The 17,338-nt window shown below is 35.8% G+C and overlaps 1 protein-coding gene across 18 annotated transcripts in view; it reads right to left on the bottom strand.

Annotated features, from left to right (window-relative positions):
* The window catches only part of RYR2 (ryanodine receptor 2), a 791,805-nt gene that overhangs the window by 371,344 nt on the left and 403,123 nt on the right, over positions 1-17,338 (bottom strand). For all 18 annotated transcript variants that reach the window (XR_007062490.1, XR_002957299.2, XM_006711802.4 and 15 more), the window contains 3 exons: positions 17,123-17,244; positions 8,071-8,254; positions 5,910-6,045 (listed from right to left, as the gene is read on the bottom strand). Coding sequence is in view for 16 of the 18 variants with exons in the window: in XM_006711802.4 (XP_006711865.1) it covers positions 5,910-6,045; positions 8,071-8,254; positions 17,123-17,244 (442 nt within the window). In the remaining 2 variants the exon portion in view is untranslated. The remainder of the gene's footprint in view (positions 1-5,909; positions 6,046-8,070; positions 8,255-17,122; positions 17,245-17,338) is intronic.

The following is a 17,338-nucleotide window of genomic DNA, read 5'->3' as shown; positions in this document are numbered from 1 at the left end:
AACATTCATTTTGGCCATACTCAAAGAGCAGCAATCTATCCTTGTTGGTTTCATACTTTGAATCTTCAGAAAATGAGTATTCATAGGAAAGTTTGCCCAGCGGCCATTTCTCAGACATCTTTAGAAAATCATTCTGTCTTGTAAGCATCCCACAGATTAATCGTGTGGATGTCAGAAAAGATGTATGAAAGCATGCCACAGTGATGCTTTTCCAACTATGAGTATCGCTGTTTCTAAGATCCTGAGGTATTCCAAACAGTAGGCTCACAAATCTACCTTTGTCATTCTCCACCTAAAACACATGAAATATATCCATGTCGAATGCAAAATTGTTATAGATTCTTATTCCCACCTTCTTGGTTTTCTCTCTGTGCAAAATAGACACACTGAAGAAAAAATACAAAGACAGTGGCTTATTTCACATATAACCCCAGGAGAGAATCTATGGTCTACCTATTTCGAATAACGGGAAGGAGGCTTAACAAATTTGGAGTTAATATTTGAACCAAAGGTTTTGACAGCCAAATAAAGAAGGAAAGGTAGATACACATGTCTTACAGGACTCCAATTATTGCTGCAGATCTGAGACTTTTCCAGACAAACTGAAGTATATATTTAGGTATATGTGGCTATCTTATGATTACAATGAATTCAATAAAAAATATTGGCAGCATATGGTTCTGAAGTATTTTGCATGTCAAAATTCAATATAAAGTTGTATTTGTTACCCTTTTCTGGTCATGAAATTGATGCTCACTATAACACAAAAAGAAAATCATAAGAACTCAAAAACATTAAAAAAACTCTCATAATTCTATCCAGTGGAAACACCCCATCTCCCACTAAAATTACCTTGTAGATTATGGGAAGAGATTCTCTTCATTTGCACTAATATATAAATGTTTTTTTTTTTTTTACTCAACTGTAATTAGTACATTCAGTTTTTACTTTTGCTATCAATTATCTGGCATTAGAGATATATGTTAACTACTTTTTTCAATTATAAAAGTAATGCATGTTAATAGATTCAGAATAATGAAAAATATAATATCAAGATCTCTCTCCCAAGTTGTAGCCCGCTAACTAGACAGAATCAGCGACATCAGAGGTGAAAAGAAGGGACAGACCGGACCAAGAATTAAAAGAACGCAATACAGAGAGTTTAGAGACAGACCAGCAACATCTGGTTGCTGGTGAAAGGAAGAGACAGACCAGGCCCTTCTTCTTAAAAGAGGGGTGTAAACAAGGTCACAGAGTCTATGAAAGTTCATAAGAAGTGTGTGAGAGCTCCCTGAGGTCTGAGTAAAGACTGGAGAAGAGAAGGAGTGGAGGTAAAGAGATTAACCACAAATTTTACCATATATGAATGTCATTGAGATCTGAAGTATTTAGCTGTATACCAGATGGTAAAGATGCAGATGTGCGATACTGTGTTCAAAAATGGGTAGAATAATAGAATATAAAATTTGCAGTCTGGGGATAGTGATAAAGCAAACTTTGTTCCTGCCATTTTCCGATGAGGAAAACAAGAACCAGTATACACCTACAATAATTATGATTCTATGTGCTCTATTGGCTAATCCATAACATTCTTTGCTATATCCAACAAATCTAAGTAAAGTTTCTTTTCTAGGACATCTTTGAAAAGCAAAACAACAATAATAAGAATGAAGCAAGAGGTTGGAGACAAAAGTTTTACTATGTTAACAAGGGAAAGGATGATAACAAACATCCAAAAGAAATGGGAATAATGATAAGAAGAACAACAATATGCGATGCTGAGCATTTTCTATATATTATAACATTTAAGCCACCCAACAACCTTATGAGGGGAATGACTATTGCCATTTTACAGGTAATATTTATAGTAACAATAGATGCCACTTGCTATATGCCTGAATGAAAGTTCAGGTGCTTATTTTTCAAGAAAGGAACCTAATGAAAGAGGAGTAAGAGTTCCACTGGTTTTTAATACACTAATTTGATAGCCAAATGCACCCTGCTACAGAAAAGTCAATGGAAATCTCTGTAACGTATTTATTAAATAATTCAAGCAAATATTTATTGACTGCCTACTCTATTCAAGCATAGTGCTAGGTAGTGAATAAAAGCATTCTGATTAGAATTCAGTTCATAAAACCCTTTGAGGAAGTAGATGAGTCAACATTTGGGATGGACACTTCAGCTTCTTGGCCACCATCCTCTATAACATTCATTCCCTATATGACAGATAGGCAGTCCAAGGAGTTGACCCAGTTTCAACAGTGGATCCCTGATCAGTCAAGACCAATGTTGGTAAAATTTCCCTACTCTTGCCAGAACGACTGGTTCAGGAATGGCCAGACACAATTTGGGCTAATGAGATGCGAGAAGCGTTGTATTTGGGGATTTTAGGAAATAGCACACTCTTTCACAAGGGATAACTTCTGGAACAAGCCCTCTTTCACTTTTCCCATGTCAGAAAGAAAGTATGCAGTACTAGGAGCTGACAGCAGACAGCTGAGACCATCAAGAAAAGGCCGCACTAGAGGAAGATGACTCCATGGAAGGCAGAGTGGAGACATAAAGCAGCTGGTTCTGGAGATAAGATGGAGCCATTGTGTCAAACCCACTGGTAGACGGCGAGCTGTGCAAGCCCCAAAATCCCCTCTGTTTTTGAAGCCAGTTTGGGTTTGGGTATTCTGTTATTTCCAACTGAACACATCCCAATAGAAACATTGCTCCACCTTCAAGAGCTCCTTTCTCGTTCTATTTAAATAGGTAAGCCATTTTAAAATCACACTTCTAGCCATGTTCCAGTAAAAGCCAACCTCAAAACTAATTAGGAGCAGGAACCGTGTTCATACCCACCAAGTCCCCAACATTTTGTAAAGTCTATTAATGTTACTTTTGTAGGTTCTAAAATAATCAAATTTAATCCCCAAATAACTCTGTGGAGGTAAAGGGAGGATTGGCTTGAGAAATAAGTAGCTCAGAAGGATAAAGCTGAAGTGCTAACTTTGCTGCAATGGGCCTTTTCTATGATTATATAAAAAATTATAATTCCTTCTATTCATTTTTGCTACTCATGGATACAATACCTGTTGAAGGGACCAATGAACAGAGACTATAAAAAGAGTTGATATGAAAATAAAAGATGCATATTTTCTAGATTTACCTAAAAAACAATGTTCTTTCTGCACGTAACACTTTCTACCCTCAAACATTCATACATGAAATTCTTCTTTTTTAAAATTTAGAGGTGGTTGCCCAGGCTGGCCTCAAACTTCCAGCCTCAAGCAATCCTACCAGTTCAGCCCCCCACGCAGCTGGGACTACACACATGAGCCAATGCATCCAGCCAGTTTTTATTATTATTTAGAGACAGGGTTTTCCTCTGCTGTCCAGGCTAGGTGATGCAACTCTTTACTTAAGCATCGAGTTTATCCAAGAAATTCATCTTATACCAAGTGAAGAAGGTAGGATGTAGTGTTAAAAACATCACCACACTTTAGTCTCTGCTATATTATGAAATTTAGTGCTATAACTTCTGCATTTGCAAAGAAATGCAGTCATTAGAATTTTGGCAACACAAAATCTTTATCTCAATCGTTACTGTGGGTAAAATGATGAATCCAAATTCCTATAAAGCCTCAATATCCCTGGTCCTGTTCTCAGAAATGGCAGCCGCATGTCACCTTTTAGTCTGAAAGTTCCAAACTGCAAGTGTTTAATTTTAATAAATATCAAATAGCCCACCTAATGAAAACATATTAACAATTCTAATAGGCACAAGAGTTTTATTTGCTAGGTTGTATTATGACTCTATAAATTTTAATGACATTTAATTAGATTGTAAAGAATTTTCAAATATTTTGACTAAATTCTTCCCATTAAAAATGCATTCTTTTTTCTTTTTTTTTTTAACTTTTTTTGCATTATCTCCTTTCTATACTTAGGTATGCTTTCCTATTTTATCAGAACTTAGTCACGTAATGAATACACATTTATTGAGTATCTCCTATGTGCCAGACATTCAGTTAAATAGCAGATACAAAAACCAGAATGGTGCTATTCTTGCCTTAGAAATCAATCACACTTATAACTAAATAAGAAATGTGACAAGTGCTATAAAATACAGGTGAAACTTAGTGGCAAGAAACCAGAGAAGGAAGGTTCAATTATACTTAAGAGTTGGGAGAAACATCAAGAATAACTTTATTTTTGTTTTTGTTTTGAGATGGAGTCTCATTCTGTCACCTAGGCTGGAGTGCAGTGGCGCAATCTTGGCTCACTGCAACCTCTGCTTCCCGGGTTCAAATGGTTCTCCTGCCTCAGCCTCCTGAGTAGCTGGGGTTACAGGCTCCCGCCACCACGCTCGGCTAATTTTTTGTATTTTTAGTAGAGACAGGGTTTCACTATGTTGGTCAGGCTGGTCTCGAAATCCTGACCTCAGGTAATCTGGCTGCCTCAGCCTCCCAAAGTGCTGGAATTACAGGTGTCAGCCACTGTGCCCGGTTATCAAGAGTAACTTTAAAAGACAGTGACATGTGAACTGGGTCTTGAAGGATATACAACAATTCTGGAAAAGGTGAGACAACGTCCCAGAGGTGTGATGTGTATGGAAAGTTCAGGAAACTGTGATGTGGCTCAAGTAAGGGGGTAGGGATAAGGGAACTGGGAAAATAGAAGGCTGGAAGGGTTAACTGGGGCCTCATATACCGGGACAACAAGGTGAACTTTATCTTCTAGAATGATATAGAAATGTGAACAATGTCTAAACAGGGAAGTGATGTAACAGTTGTGACATACAGGATGAATCTGAGATTTTGGAGGCGAGGGTTAGGGTAGAGAAAGAGACCATTCCCCGTGGTCTCTGTTTTTGCACATCTTGCAAATTTGTCATTGGAAGGCTTTGTTTCAGGAAATCTTTTCCAAGATGTTTGCAGCAAGAGGCCATGCAAGAGAGAGATGTCTCCATCCACAGCAAAGGCCAGGCAGGCTTTCTGTCCAGTGTAACTAACTCACACTCCCTGAGCTCAGGATTCCTTTTCTGTAACTCAACTAGCTGCATGTGCAGGTGTCATCTGTCCCCTTCACATTGTCCTTTGAGAACTGGGGCTCAGAGAATTGGCACTACAGCCAATCTCTACAGCTATTTCTTTGACTACTAAACTGTCCCTCTTTACCCTAACTGCAGGCTAACTTACTAGCTTGCAAATAGGGTAAAAATCTCAGACCCTTTAGTTTTTGACAAGAGACAAGTAGAAGCTACAGGAGGTCAAAAATAATGAGGAGCTGTGTTTGCAGAGAGCCCACAGGAATGCAGGGTAAACCACAGCAACTGTCGCTTAATCAATGTCAGGTGTACTTAGAAGTTGCCAAACAGAGATCATATAAAGAATAGAGAGAAGACTGGAGCAGATCATTGATTAGATGGGAATGTAAGGAATTAAGAGGGACCCTTGCGGAACTAACTCCAAAAGCAAAAAGGAAATATTTAACACACATCCATATAAAGGCCCCTCATCTGCAAAGACTGCACCCTGAATGACTTTCTCCTCCTTTAACCAAAGGCAAATCTACTTCTCTAGCTACCTTTCTCACTCAGAGATGGATTTTAATACTAAGCACCATTTGATTTGGCACAGTAAATTAAAAATTAAGTCTCAATTAGGAGGCATGTTATAAAATTGCTGTAGCTATTATGTGATTTTTTTTGCTTTTGTGTTTGATTTTTATTTTATTTTTTGTAGAGATGGGGTCTTGCTATGTTGTCCAGGCTGGTCTCAAATTCCTGGCCTCAAATGATCCTCCCACCTCAGCCTCCCAAATTGCTGGAATTACAGGCATGAGCCATCACACCTAGTCCATTTATGGACATTTTAAATAGATAACTCTGTTGCTATGAACCCAATCATGCTTCTTACCCAGCAACTCATACAGAGAATTCAGAATGGATTTCCAAGACTCTCCTGCTTCTCGCCCAGCAACATCAGCAAAGTGTGCTGCACTGCTGTAGACGTGCAAACGGTCTATGCACTCAAGCACGAGGTTGATCATTCCCTGGAACGTTAAAAAAAAAAAAAATCACAATCAGACATCCAAAACTGTCATTCTGCTTACAGACTAAAAATGCTAAGTTGATTTAAAAATAGAAGTCTGACTGAAGGTTCATCTACTAATCATAAAGAAAACTGTGATCATTCAAAGGACAGGAAGACACACATTTGCATGTGAAATGAAATGTTCTTCAGATAGTTCAAGCAGATTTTAAATTCTGTATGCCATCATCAAATAGCAGTGGAAGAATAACCTAAAAATATGTACTTCATACTTATGGCCTTCTATTGTTAAGTGACCATAAGAGCAGATCCTTATTCTTAGATAGGCATTATTATTATTCTTAAAGATATAGTATATCAGGTAAAGCTCATGAAAAGATATTTTTAAAGCAAATCAAAAATGCTGTAATGCATTTTTGCATTATCGTGAACTTTGTAAGATACAGCCTGAGTTTGAAATTATGCTTTATTTTTATTATTATTGGTAGATCAAGGTTGTAAAAAGCGTGGCAAACCACATAAAGAGCTATCTAACCACATAAAGAGCTATATAAACCACTATCTAAACCAATTAACTTATTTCACACAGAATTTAAGAGATACCATGGACCTAAGAACATTTCCAAGTCCCCATCCAGATTGTCTTATATGAGAAGTTGGGAAAAAAACTAAATTACTATTTTAATTTTTACACCCCAATATTTAATGTTACTTCTTCCAGATATTAAATAAATGCAGCATTGTAAAAGAGCCTAACAATTTGGCATATGTGAAAGCTCCCAGGAAACTAGTCCACGTTATTATTGGTTTATGTTGATACTTTTTTGCTTTCGTGCCGTTGAGGTCTCTAGATAGGTCATCTCTTTTGAATACCCAGTGGGAACGTCCTCAAAAAGTTATGTCAGTTTCAAGCGTTTCTGATGAGATATTAGAACACAGCTTTAAAAGTAGACAGGGATTATGAGAACCTAGTAATAACCCTTTCTGGTTTTGTTTGTTTAGTTTTATTTCTCTGTGTCACAACTTTTATTTTAGGCTTTGGGGGTTACATGTGCAGGTTTGTTATGTGGGTATATTGCGTGTCACTGGGGTTTGAAGTATAAATGATTTCATCACCCAGATAGTGAGCAGAATACCTGATAGGTAGTTTCTCGACCCTTGCCCTCCTCCCACCCTCCACCCTCAAGTAGGCCCTGGTATTTATTGTTCCCCTCTTTGTGTCCATGTGTACTCAATGAATAACCTTTTTTGTTACTTTTACAAAGCTAAGTATTTATTCAGAAAAAAATCATTATTCTGCATACAAGATGCATTGAAAAGAATGGGAATCCAGCTGAACAAGCCTGATTTATCCCATCAACCCTCGTAGTCTCCAACGAAGCTCCTGACTATATTAGAACATGAGATATATCATTTGGTCCTTCTTTTATTGTTTGTAAAATATGACACTTGAGTTCTTTTTAGCAGTGAAACTTTTGGGGCAATACAATCATACATGGAAATGTAATAGATGCAAAGGAGAAGGGTAGGGTTGCTCTGTCCAAGTAGGGTTCCTGGAGCTCAGCCTACTCCGGTAGCCCTCTCCTGACAGCTTCCATCCCCAACACGAAGCTTCCTATAGATCCTGGGCCATTTCCAAGGAGCACCTGCTGAATAGTTTGAAAACCCTGATGCTTTCTAAAGCCTGTATTCGTACAGACACTTTGAGATTCTTAATTGATATAACCCACATGAAGAGAACTATAGTGCTTGCAAAAGACCAGGGTGAGGGCTGAGCAGACAGTAAATGTCTCTTGCCAGGAGAATGAAAAGATTCATGTTTTTAAATTAATACTCATGGATAGTATAAATAAATAAAAATCATGTCGAGATTTCTCTAAGGCCTGTTTCTCCTGTTCAGTAGTATACTTTCTCCTCTATATTGCAAAACGCAAAGATGGTCAAAATAGATGGAAAATTTTCCCAACCAAGAAGCTGTTTTTACAAGAGAATAACAGAAGAGAAATGAGTGTTGATAGAAACGGACCTCTTCCTGGAAGAGATTTTGCCGATTCTTCAGGGCTCGTAGTCTGTTCTGTTTGTCTTCATGCTCTAAATGCTCATCTGGGGGGTGGAAGTAGCCAATGAGATCCTGCAGACTTAGGCTTACGGACTCTATAGGCAAATCGACTGTGGAAGCCTTCGCTTTCTTGCTGAGAGCATCAAGGCCCCTAAAATAAACCATAAACATTTCTCTATTGTCAGTGATTCACAATTTTATCATTTTTCCATTTATAGATGATTTCAGGCATTAATCTCTCTCCCTACATCACTGTAAAAGGGACATGTCAGAAAGGTCCTCCTGCTCCAAAAGCAGTGATCATGGATTCTGATTCAAGTCAGAAACTGTGCAATGTTATGTTATAAAAAGCAGTATCCACGGCCACTCACCCAGAGAATAACCTCATAGGCTACAGGAACAGTGTCTACAAAACCAATAGTAGGAATGTTCAGAAACCAGTTGATTTTCATTGGAAAGCACTACACACTTTAAGGCTTCAGGCTTCATCTTCCCAGATTCATAATTCTGACATTTCCTTGTGGTTTGTCTTCAAAAAGGAATTCCTAAGTTTTCATGGACCCTAGCTTGCCATTCTGTTTAATTCCTGTGAGTTCAAAAATATATTCTAATGATGTTAATTTAGAAAATCTGCTTATGAAACGGTAAATATATATTAAAATGCTTTTCTATTATCTGAAAGAAATGCATTTAAAAGTTATACTAACAAAAATATCATGAAGTATTTTCTAGCCTTGGAAGAAAGATATATTACTGGCATGTAAATGTGTTCATTTGTTGAGCTTACTGAGATTCTCAGTTTTTAAACTCATAGCTTTGAATGTATCTGAAAAGAACTTTATAACATGTCTACAGATCAAAAGTATTTCAAAATAAAAATATTTTTTAAAACAATGCATACAATAAAAGAATGGGACAACATCTCTACTGTAGTTGATATTGTAATATTCTATAGCCATGACAAGTTGTTAATGCATAGAAATATTACACTTCCATTCCTGCTCTCTGTATTAGCAAAACTGTATGGTAACATTTTATTTCAAGCAAATGTTTCTGACTAATTTTCTGACTATGCTGGAACTTACATTACAAAACAATAAAATACTCATTAATGAGAATTAGCTTTGAACTTTATAGTTTTAAAAAATTATTTAAAATATGTCATCACTTCCACAAAGATTGCTAATGATTTTGGAATATTTGATTTCAGCTTTATCAAACAGTAGAAACAGTAAAACTGTACAACTATTTTAAAGTTTTTGCCTGAAATTCTATACCAATTATATATGAACAGAATTCACCTACCTACCCCCAAGTTTTATCGCCTCTATAAGTTTTTCTGTGCCCAAAATGCAAGAGTGACTTTTCAGTAGAAAATTATTTTTCCCATTTAATTCACATGCAGTGAAGTATTTTTCTAAACATTTTACCCCATTAACTCCAATTAAACATAAATAAATGTATAACAAATTCAAACTCAACTGTTAATAAGTGAATAAAATTCAAAAACGATTCAGTATCCACATTTTCAAATATAAGTGAAAACAACAGTAAATGTCAGTTTTTAGGTTATTACATTGAAATAAACATATCTACCATGAGGAATGTAACTATTCAATTACTTTGTAAGAGAAGTCTCTTGTCAGAAGAAATGTTGTCCAAACTTCTAAAATTATTAATTATGTTATGTTTCAGGGCTTTCCTCTAATACAAAGATGTATATCATCTTAATTTATGAAGAACAAAAAATATAATCAAGAATCAAGGAGAAAAAAAATCATCCAGAAATCCAAAGATAGTAGAATCACACTATGCTAGAGTAAAAATGAAAGCTATTAACCTTGTGGCTACATTTTGTAATTTAAAGATTAAACTATATTATTACCTAACAAATACAGGTTCCTCCCCTCTCTCATCTACTTCAAGAATATATTTATTAATATATCCAGAAGAAAAATGAAAACATATATAGTGTATATAAAATATATGATATATGTTGTTATATATTATATATATTTATTATATATTATATATTTGTTATACATTATATATAGTATATATTAGTATATACTAATAGTATATGCTGATATAGTATATTATTAATGTATAATATACTCTATAGTATATAGTTTATACTATATTATATAATGTATAATATATACTTTACATATATAATGTAATATATACAATTGTTAATTATACTATTATGTAGTATAGCATATAATACATATACTAATATATGCCATTAATTATATATGCTATTGTATAGTATATATAACATATACTATACTATACATTATAATATACTACATAATATATCCATTATAACATATAATTATATATAATATGTATGTTTAAACACTTCCACGTATACACACACATTATATATTACTTAAATGCTCATGAGTATTACTATTAGAAGTATACACACACATACACACACACACACACACACACACACACAAAATTTTATATATATTCCCCACCCCAGGCCAAAAGAATAGAGCTCCCTTCCCTGAAGACAACACAAACACACACACAAACACACACACAAACACACATACACACACAGTACTACCACAACCACCGTGACCTGGGAGAGAGAGAACAGAAGGATCACAGAACATAAACCACATAAGAAAAACACAAATGATTAACTATCTTGACTTTCTTTCCAAAAGGTAAAAATTTTTAAATTAGTCTCTTAATATGTAATAAGTAAATTGGCATTAATAAAATTAATAGTAAAAAAATAACTGAAAAATACATGGGTGAAAATATTGTAAAAATACTGAGATTTTAAAGACGGTGCTTTCATGAATGTGATAAAATGAATAAAATATTTTACTGAAAAGCATATGCTCTTTAAAATGCTCAGTAATCATGTAAAACTTTTCAAAGCTTCTAAATATATTAAAAAATTATATAAATTCAGGACTTCAATTTTTTTTTTTTTTTTTTGAGACAGAGTTTCACTCTGTCACCCAGGCTGGAGTGCAGTGGTATGATCTTGGCTCACTGCAACCTCTGCCTCCTGAGTTCAGGGTTTAAGTGATTCTCGAGCCTTAGCCTCCAGAACAGCTGAGATTACAGGCTCATGCCCACCACATCCAGCTAATTTTTATATTTTTAGTAGGGATGGGGTTTCATCCCTGTTGGCCAGGCTGCTTTCAAATTCCTGACCTCAAGTGATGTGCCGGCTTCAGCCTCCCAAAAGTGCTACGATTACAGGTGTGAGCCACCACACTCAGCCCAATTTGCTACTTTGTAAGTCTTATTATTTTACTGGTTGCGTAGCATTCTGTTGTATAGAACGTAGAATACAATATAGTTTACTCTCTGTTGATAAACTCCTGGCCTCAAGTGATCCACCCACCTTGGCCTCCCAAAGTGCTGGGATTATAGGTGCGAGTCACTACCGTGCCCAGCCTAAATTTGGGACTTATAATAGGTAATACTCCTGTGCATTTAAGTGAAACTTGCAAGTTTATATATATATGCAATAGAAACATGATTACTGGATATATATATATGCAATATAAATATATATGCAATATAAACATGATTACTGGAGTTAAATAATACAACTAAAGGATAAATATAGAAAAGAAACAAGGAGAATAAACGAAAGCTTAATTAAAATTTAGTTTTTGAAAAAGCTAATACATGATTAAGGTCAGTTAAGCACAAGAGAAAGAAAGGTTAATTGTGTTTATCCATGGCACTTCTCAGGTGATCACAAGGGAGAGACATTGTTAAAAGCAGATGTTAGATAACTCAGAAAAATATGGCAAATTTGTGATGGGTTTGTAATGAGGAGGATAGCTAAAAATATCAATGCAGAATTAGCAAAGACGTTCTAGGCTACATTTCCCAAGGGGAACAAGGAATCTCATCTGGAAATAAGCATTGCACATGTCAACTAGATGTGAGTTACATTTGGCCAAGACAAAGTGACAGGGCAGGATTTCCCTTCCCTCTGAAACAACCCAAAAAAACAAAGTATAATGGGGAGTGGCGGGGCAGGGACCAAACAAACACGAAAACTTTCAAGACACTGGAGAGCAATGAATAAAGGACAGGAATTCCTGAGGAATGGAAACAAATCAGGTGAGTCCTACAGCTGCCTCAGTTTACTGCCTAGGAGAATTTCCAGGCCATGGAGCAGGAAGGGAACCCAGGTGTGGCCTGACAGTCTCCATGAGTTGAAGAGATATTGCTGAGCATCCAGGAGACCAAGGTTGCTAGAATTCACAGGACACAGAGAGGAGAGGGCTCACAAGAGGGAACCCTGGAGACCTACAGAAGGTCCCCCTCAAATATTCAGCAGAACACTGATGAGAATGTCATGAGAAAACTACTCAAGGCAGGGAACAGAATCACCTGAAAGGATTAGAGGGAACAGCAACTGGCCCTCACACAGAACCTAAAACAGCGCCTGTCCCCAGCAGCCAGACTGGAAAACTCTACAATTCATGGGACACTGGATAGAGTATTCAGAGGGTCTTGTCTCAATAGTGGGGAATCACTTGCCCCAGAGTAAACACTGCTCTTCCCACCCAGAAAATTCTAAAGGCAAGATCCAAACAAATCAAACTCTTCCTAGGTAACTTAACAGCATCCCAGGAAAAAGCTCAAGAATATTTACAGGAATATAAAAATAGCCAGCACCTAACAAATTCACAATGTCTGGTAACTAAACAAAAATAACCAGGCATATAAAGAACTATAAAATACAATCATCAATAGGGAGTAAAATTAGTCAACCCAAAGAAAAAAAAAACTTGTCAATCTAGAATGCTGTACACAGCAAAAATATCACTTAAAATGAAGGCAAAAAACACATTTTCAGTTGTACAAAAGCCAAAAGAGTCTATCTCCAGCAGACTTGCATGATAAGAAATGTTAAAGAAAGTCCTTCATGCAGAAGAAAACAATACCTGAAGAAAATACAGATCCACACACACACACAAAAAGAGCACTAGAAATGATAACTACATGTGCAAATATAGATGTTTTTGTTATTTAAATCTCTTTAAAAACTAATTGATTTTAAATAAAAATATAGTGTGGAATTAATAACATCTATAAATGTAAAATGAATGACAAAGTGCGAAAACTGGGAGGGAAGTATACTATTATAATGTTCTTATACTATTCATAGAGTGACAAAATATCAATTAAAGGTAGACTGTGGCAAATTAAAGATACATGCTATAAACCGTAAGTAACCACTAAAATACAAATAAAGTATTACAGCTTTAATCCGTAAGTAACCACTAAAATACAAACAAAATATTACAGCTAATAAACCAATAAAAAGGAGGTAAGATGAAATAATAGAAAATACTCAGCTAATCCAAAAGAAGGAAGAAAAAGGAGGAAATGGGACAATGACAAAGTGTTCTTAGGTGGTTTATTTTTTGTAACCCATATGCTCTCACGCTCCCGTGTAAGGGTGGTGATGGTGGTGGCGTGTGTGTGTGTATCTCCTCTTTATCCTATTACTAGGTGGGACGAATATAAAACAAATAGGAAGAAGACAGACTTAAGCCTACTATATCAATAATCATATTAATGTAAATGGATTAAACAATACAATTTAAAACAGGGATTATCAAATGGGACAAAAATGCAAGACCCAACTACTTATTGCTTAAAAGAAATGCACTTTAAATGTAAAGATACAAAGAGGTTAAAGGTCATAGGATGCTAATACCAAAGGTGGGGTGGGGGGAAACTAGAGGGGCTATGTTCATATTATACAAAGTACATGTCATAGAAAAGAATATTACCAGAGTTAAGGAAGGTAATTTCATAATGATAAAGGGGTCAGTTCATCAAAAGAACAAAATCCTAAACAGGTATGCACTTAATAACGGAGCTTCAAAATGCACCAAGAAAAGGTGACAAGCAGCAAGGAGAAACAGAGATATCCACAATTACAGTCAGACACTTTTCAGTACCTTTCTCTCAGTAATTAGTAGAACAAAGAGACTGAAAAACGTAAGGAAATTAAAGATCTAAATAATACTAAATTGACACTTTTGAACACGACCCAACAAGAGGAGAATGCACATTCTTTTCAAATTCACATGAAACATTTACCAAAATAAAGTTTATTCTAAGCCATAAAACAAGTCTTAATAAATTTCAAAGCGATCAGTCTCACAAAGTATATTCTCTGACCATAATGGCATTAAATTAGAAATTAGTAACAGAAAAATACTCAGGAAATCCCCGAATATTTGGAAACTGAAAAAATCTATTGGTCAAAGAAGTCATCAAAGGGGAAACTGAAAGAAAACATATCAATGCCGGGTGTGGTGCCTCACGCCTGTAATCCCAGCACTCTGTGAGGCCGAGGTGGGTGGATCACTTGAGATCAGGTGTTCGAGACCAGCCTGGGCAACATGGTGAAACCACGTCTCTACTAAAAATAAAAAAATTAGCCAGGAGTGGTGATGCACACCTGTAATCCTAGCCACTTGGGAAGCTGACACAGTAGAAATTGCTTAAACCTGGGAGGCAGGTTGCAGTGAGCAGAGATAGGGCCATTGCACTCTAGTCTGGGCGACAGAATGAGAGTGAAGAGCAGAATGGGGAGAGGGGAGGGAGGAAAGGGGAGGGGAAAGAAGAAAAGACAGAAAGAAAGAAAAGAAAAGGAAAGAAAAAAGAAAAGAGGGAGGGAGGGAGGGGAAAGAGGGAGGGAGGGAGGAAAGGATGGAAGGAAGGAAGGAGGGAAGGAAAGGAGGGAGGAGAGAGAGACAGACGGAAAGAAAAGAAAGAAAGAAGAAAGGAAAATCAAAAGGTGTGAGGTACCACTAAAAACAGAAATGTATAACACTAAATGTTTATGTCAACAAAGGTCTCAATAATATCAGCATTCATCTTATAAAGTTAGAAAAAAGAGAGCAAGGCAAGAAGAAAGAAAATAGAAAAAATGAGACTGGGAATCAGAAAATCTTTTCATAGTTAATAGGGGTTAATGTAACCATCCTATTTTATCATGACAGGTATAACAAATGAATTTCACTCAAATAGCCCAGACAAAAAATAATTTTCAAGATTTAATAAAGCAGAAAGTGTATAATTCAACATTTTTTATCACAGAATCCAAATTTCTCATACTTGGTACTCTATCTAATCAGAAAAGTAATAGTTAAATTTTAAAATTATTCTTCCAAAGAGCAGATGTGCTAAAGTAAATCACATTCAAGATGAATTTTGGTATTTCAGCCAGCATAAAAAAATGTCACTTATGGTATACTAGCACTACATTATGTCTATAACACTGAGATAGTAGCTTTCCCACAAAATAGTTTTCAAAACAAATAACCAGTTTTTGGTCTAGTATTAAATTAACCTACCAAATGGTATCTCTGCAGTGCCACTGAATACTCTACAGCAGTCAAATTGAATTTTAAAAAGTCCCTCATATTTGAAGAAGTCAGTGTTGACTAAATATAAAATCGACAATTTCAAAGATTTATGATTAATTTGCTCAATCCCTATCATAGGATTGATCAGCTCTAGTAAAGAAAAACTAGTGGGAAGAACAAGATATGAAAAGGCTAAGTTTGTTTCCAAAATAAGTTATAATTTCCAAGTAGAACTTCTTGACTAGTTTTATAATGCATTAAAATGTAATAAATTTTTACTGTAAGAAATAAATACTATATTAAACTACAAGAATACAAATAATACTGAAAAGTAATACAAGTAATAAAAAATACAAAAATGTGGTGCATACCCCATTCGATTTAAGCTTTACTGCATCTGATGAGGCTTGGAGTTGAGACGAGGCAGAAAAATGGACTAAACACTTAGGATGTGTGGCCAAATGCTGTGCACATTTTTTGGTTACATACAGGCACACACACATATACACACAGTGTGTATGGTTTATAAAAGAGATGGTTTATAAAAGAAGTAGAAAATAATATAATCTTGAGTAGGGGAGATTTGTTTTATGCTGTAAAGCCAAAAAAAAAATTTACCAATTCAACTACTACAAAAATCCTTTCAAATTCTTTCCCAAACCAATAAACTGGTAAAAAGGTTTGCAACTTATGATGACAGGAAATGAATATCTCTAAACATAACAAAAGCTCAGAACAACTTAACAGAAATATTAACAAATAATAGGATTAAACACAAAAGAAAAAATAAATGAAGAAAGATGGTCAACAAAAAGTTTCCCCCATCAAATTAGCAAAGTTTAAAGAGACAAATGCAATCTCTCGCAAGTCAGAGCATATGTTGGTATAATGTTACCAGAAAACATGTTGGTCACAAGTTTAATTTAGTCTATAGATATGCAATTATTAGGTGGAAGAACAGTTCTTATGAGAATTACTTTAAAAAAATACATATCAAAACTCCGCAGCTATATAGGCTTCACTGCCCTCATTGAAAAAGGAACTAGGCTGGGCACGGTGGCTCACACCTGTAATCCCAGCACTTTGGGAGGCCAAGGAGAGCGGATCATGAGGTCAAGAGATCGAGTTCATCCTGGCCAAGATGGTGAAACCCTATCTCTACTAAAAATACAAAAATTAGCTAGGCATGGTGGTGAGCACCTGTAATCCTAGCTACTCGGGAGGCTGAGGGAGGAGAATCGCTTGAACCCAGGAGGCAGAGGATGCAGTGAGCCGAGACTGCACCACTGCACTCCAGCCTGGATGACAGTGTGAGACTCTGTCTCAAAAAGAAAAAAGGAAAAGAAAAAGGAACTAAATAGGTTCAGTACAAGGAAAAGTAGTCATTAAATCATCCTAATCTATACCTATCAATTACAAATTACACATCCAATTTCCAAAACCATATTCTTTTTAAAAGTTTATTTAAAAGAAAGACATTAAATCATCTCATTAACACTTCCTAACGTTTCTGCTGACTTACCAAACAGTATGAGATTTATTACCATCATAGCATACTTTTAAATTGTCTATTTGCATATCCAATAAAGAAATGAAAATGAAGTATCAAACAACTACGCCTACAAAAGAAAAAGTACCTTATAAATCTATTGAAAAGGAAGACTGTGCTCCGGATAACTCGGGCTGTGCGTGATTCTTCATGCTGGGATCTCGACAAACTTATGCCATCATCCATGTGGCCTTCATGATGCATAATAGCCTGTAAGAAAGCAAAAATAAGGCCATTACTCCCAACGTCTCTTTTCCAAACTAGAGTTAGGGAGATGTGTACTCAAACAGCTGAGCCATAACAA

Source organism: Homo sapiens, chromosome 1 (genome assembly GCF_000001405.40).
Source record: "Homo sapiens chromosome 1, GRCh38.p14 Primary Assembly".
NCBI lineage: Eukaryota > Metazoa > Chordata > Mammalia > Primates > Hominidae > Homo > Homo sapiens.
Note: the sequence above shows the minus strand (reverse complement) of the source record. Positions and strands in the feature narration are given on the sequence as shown.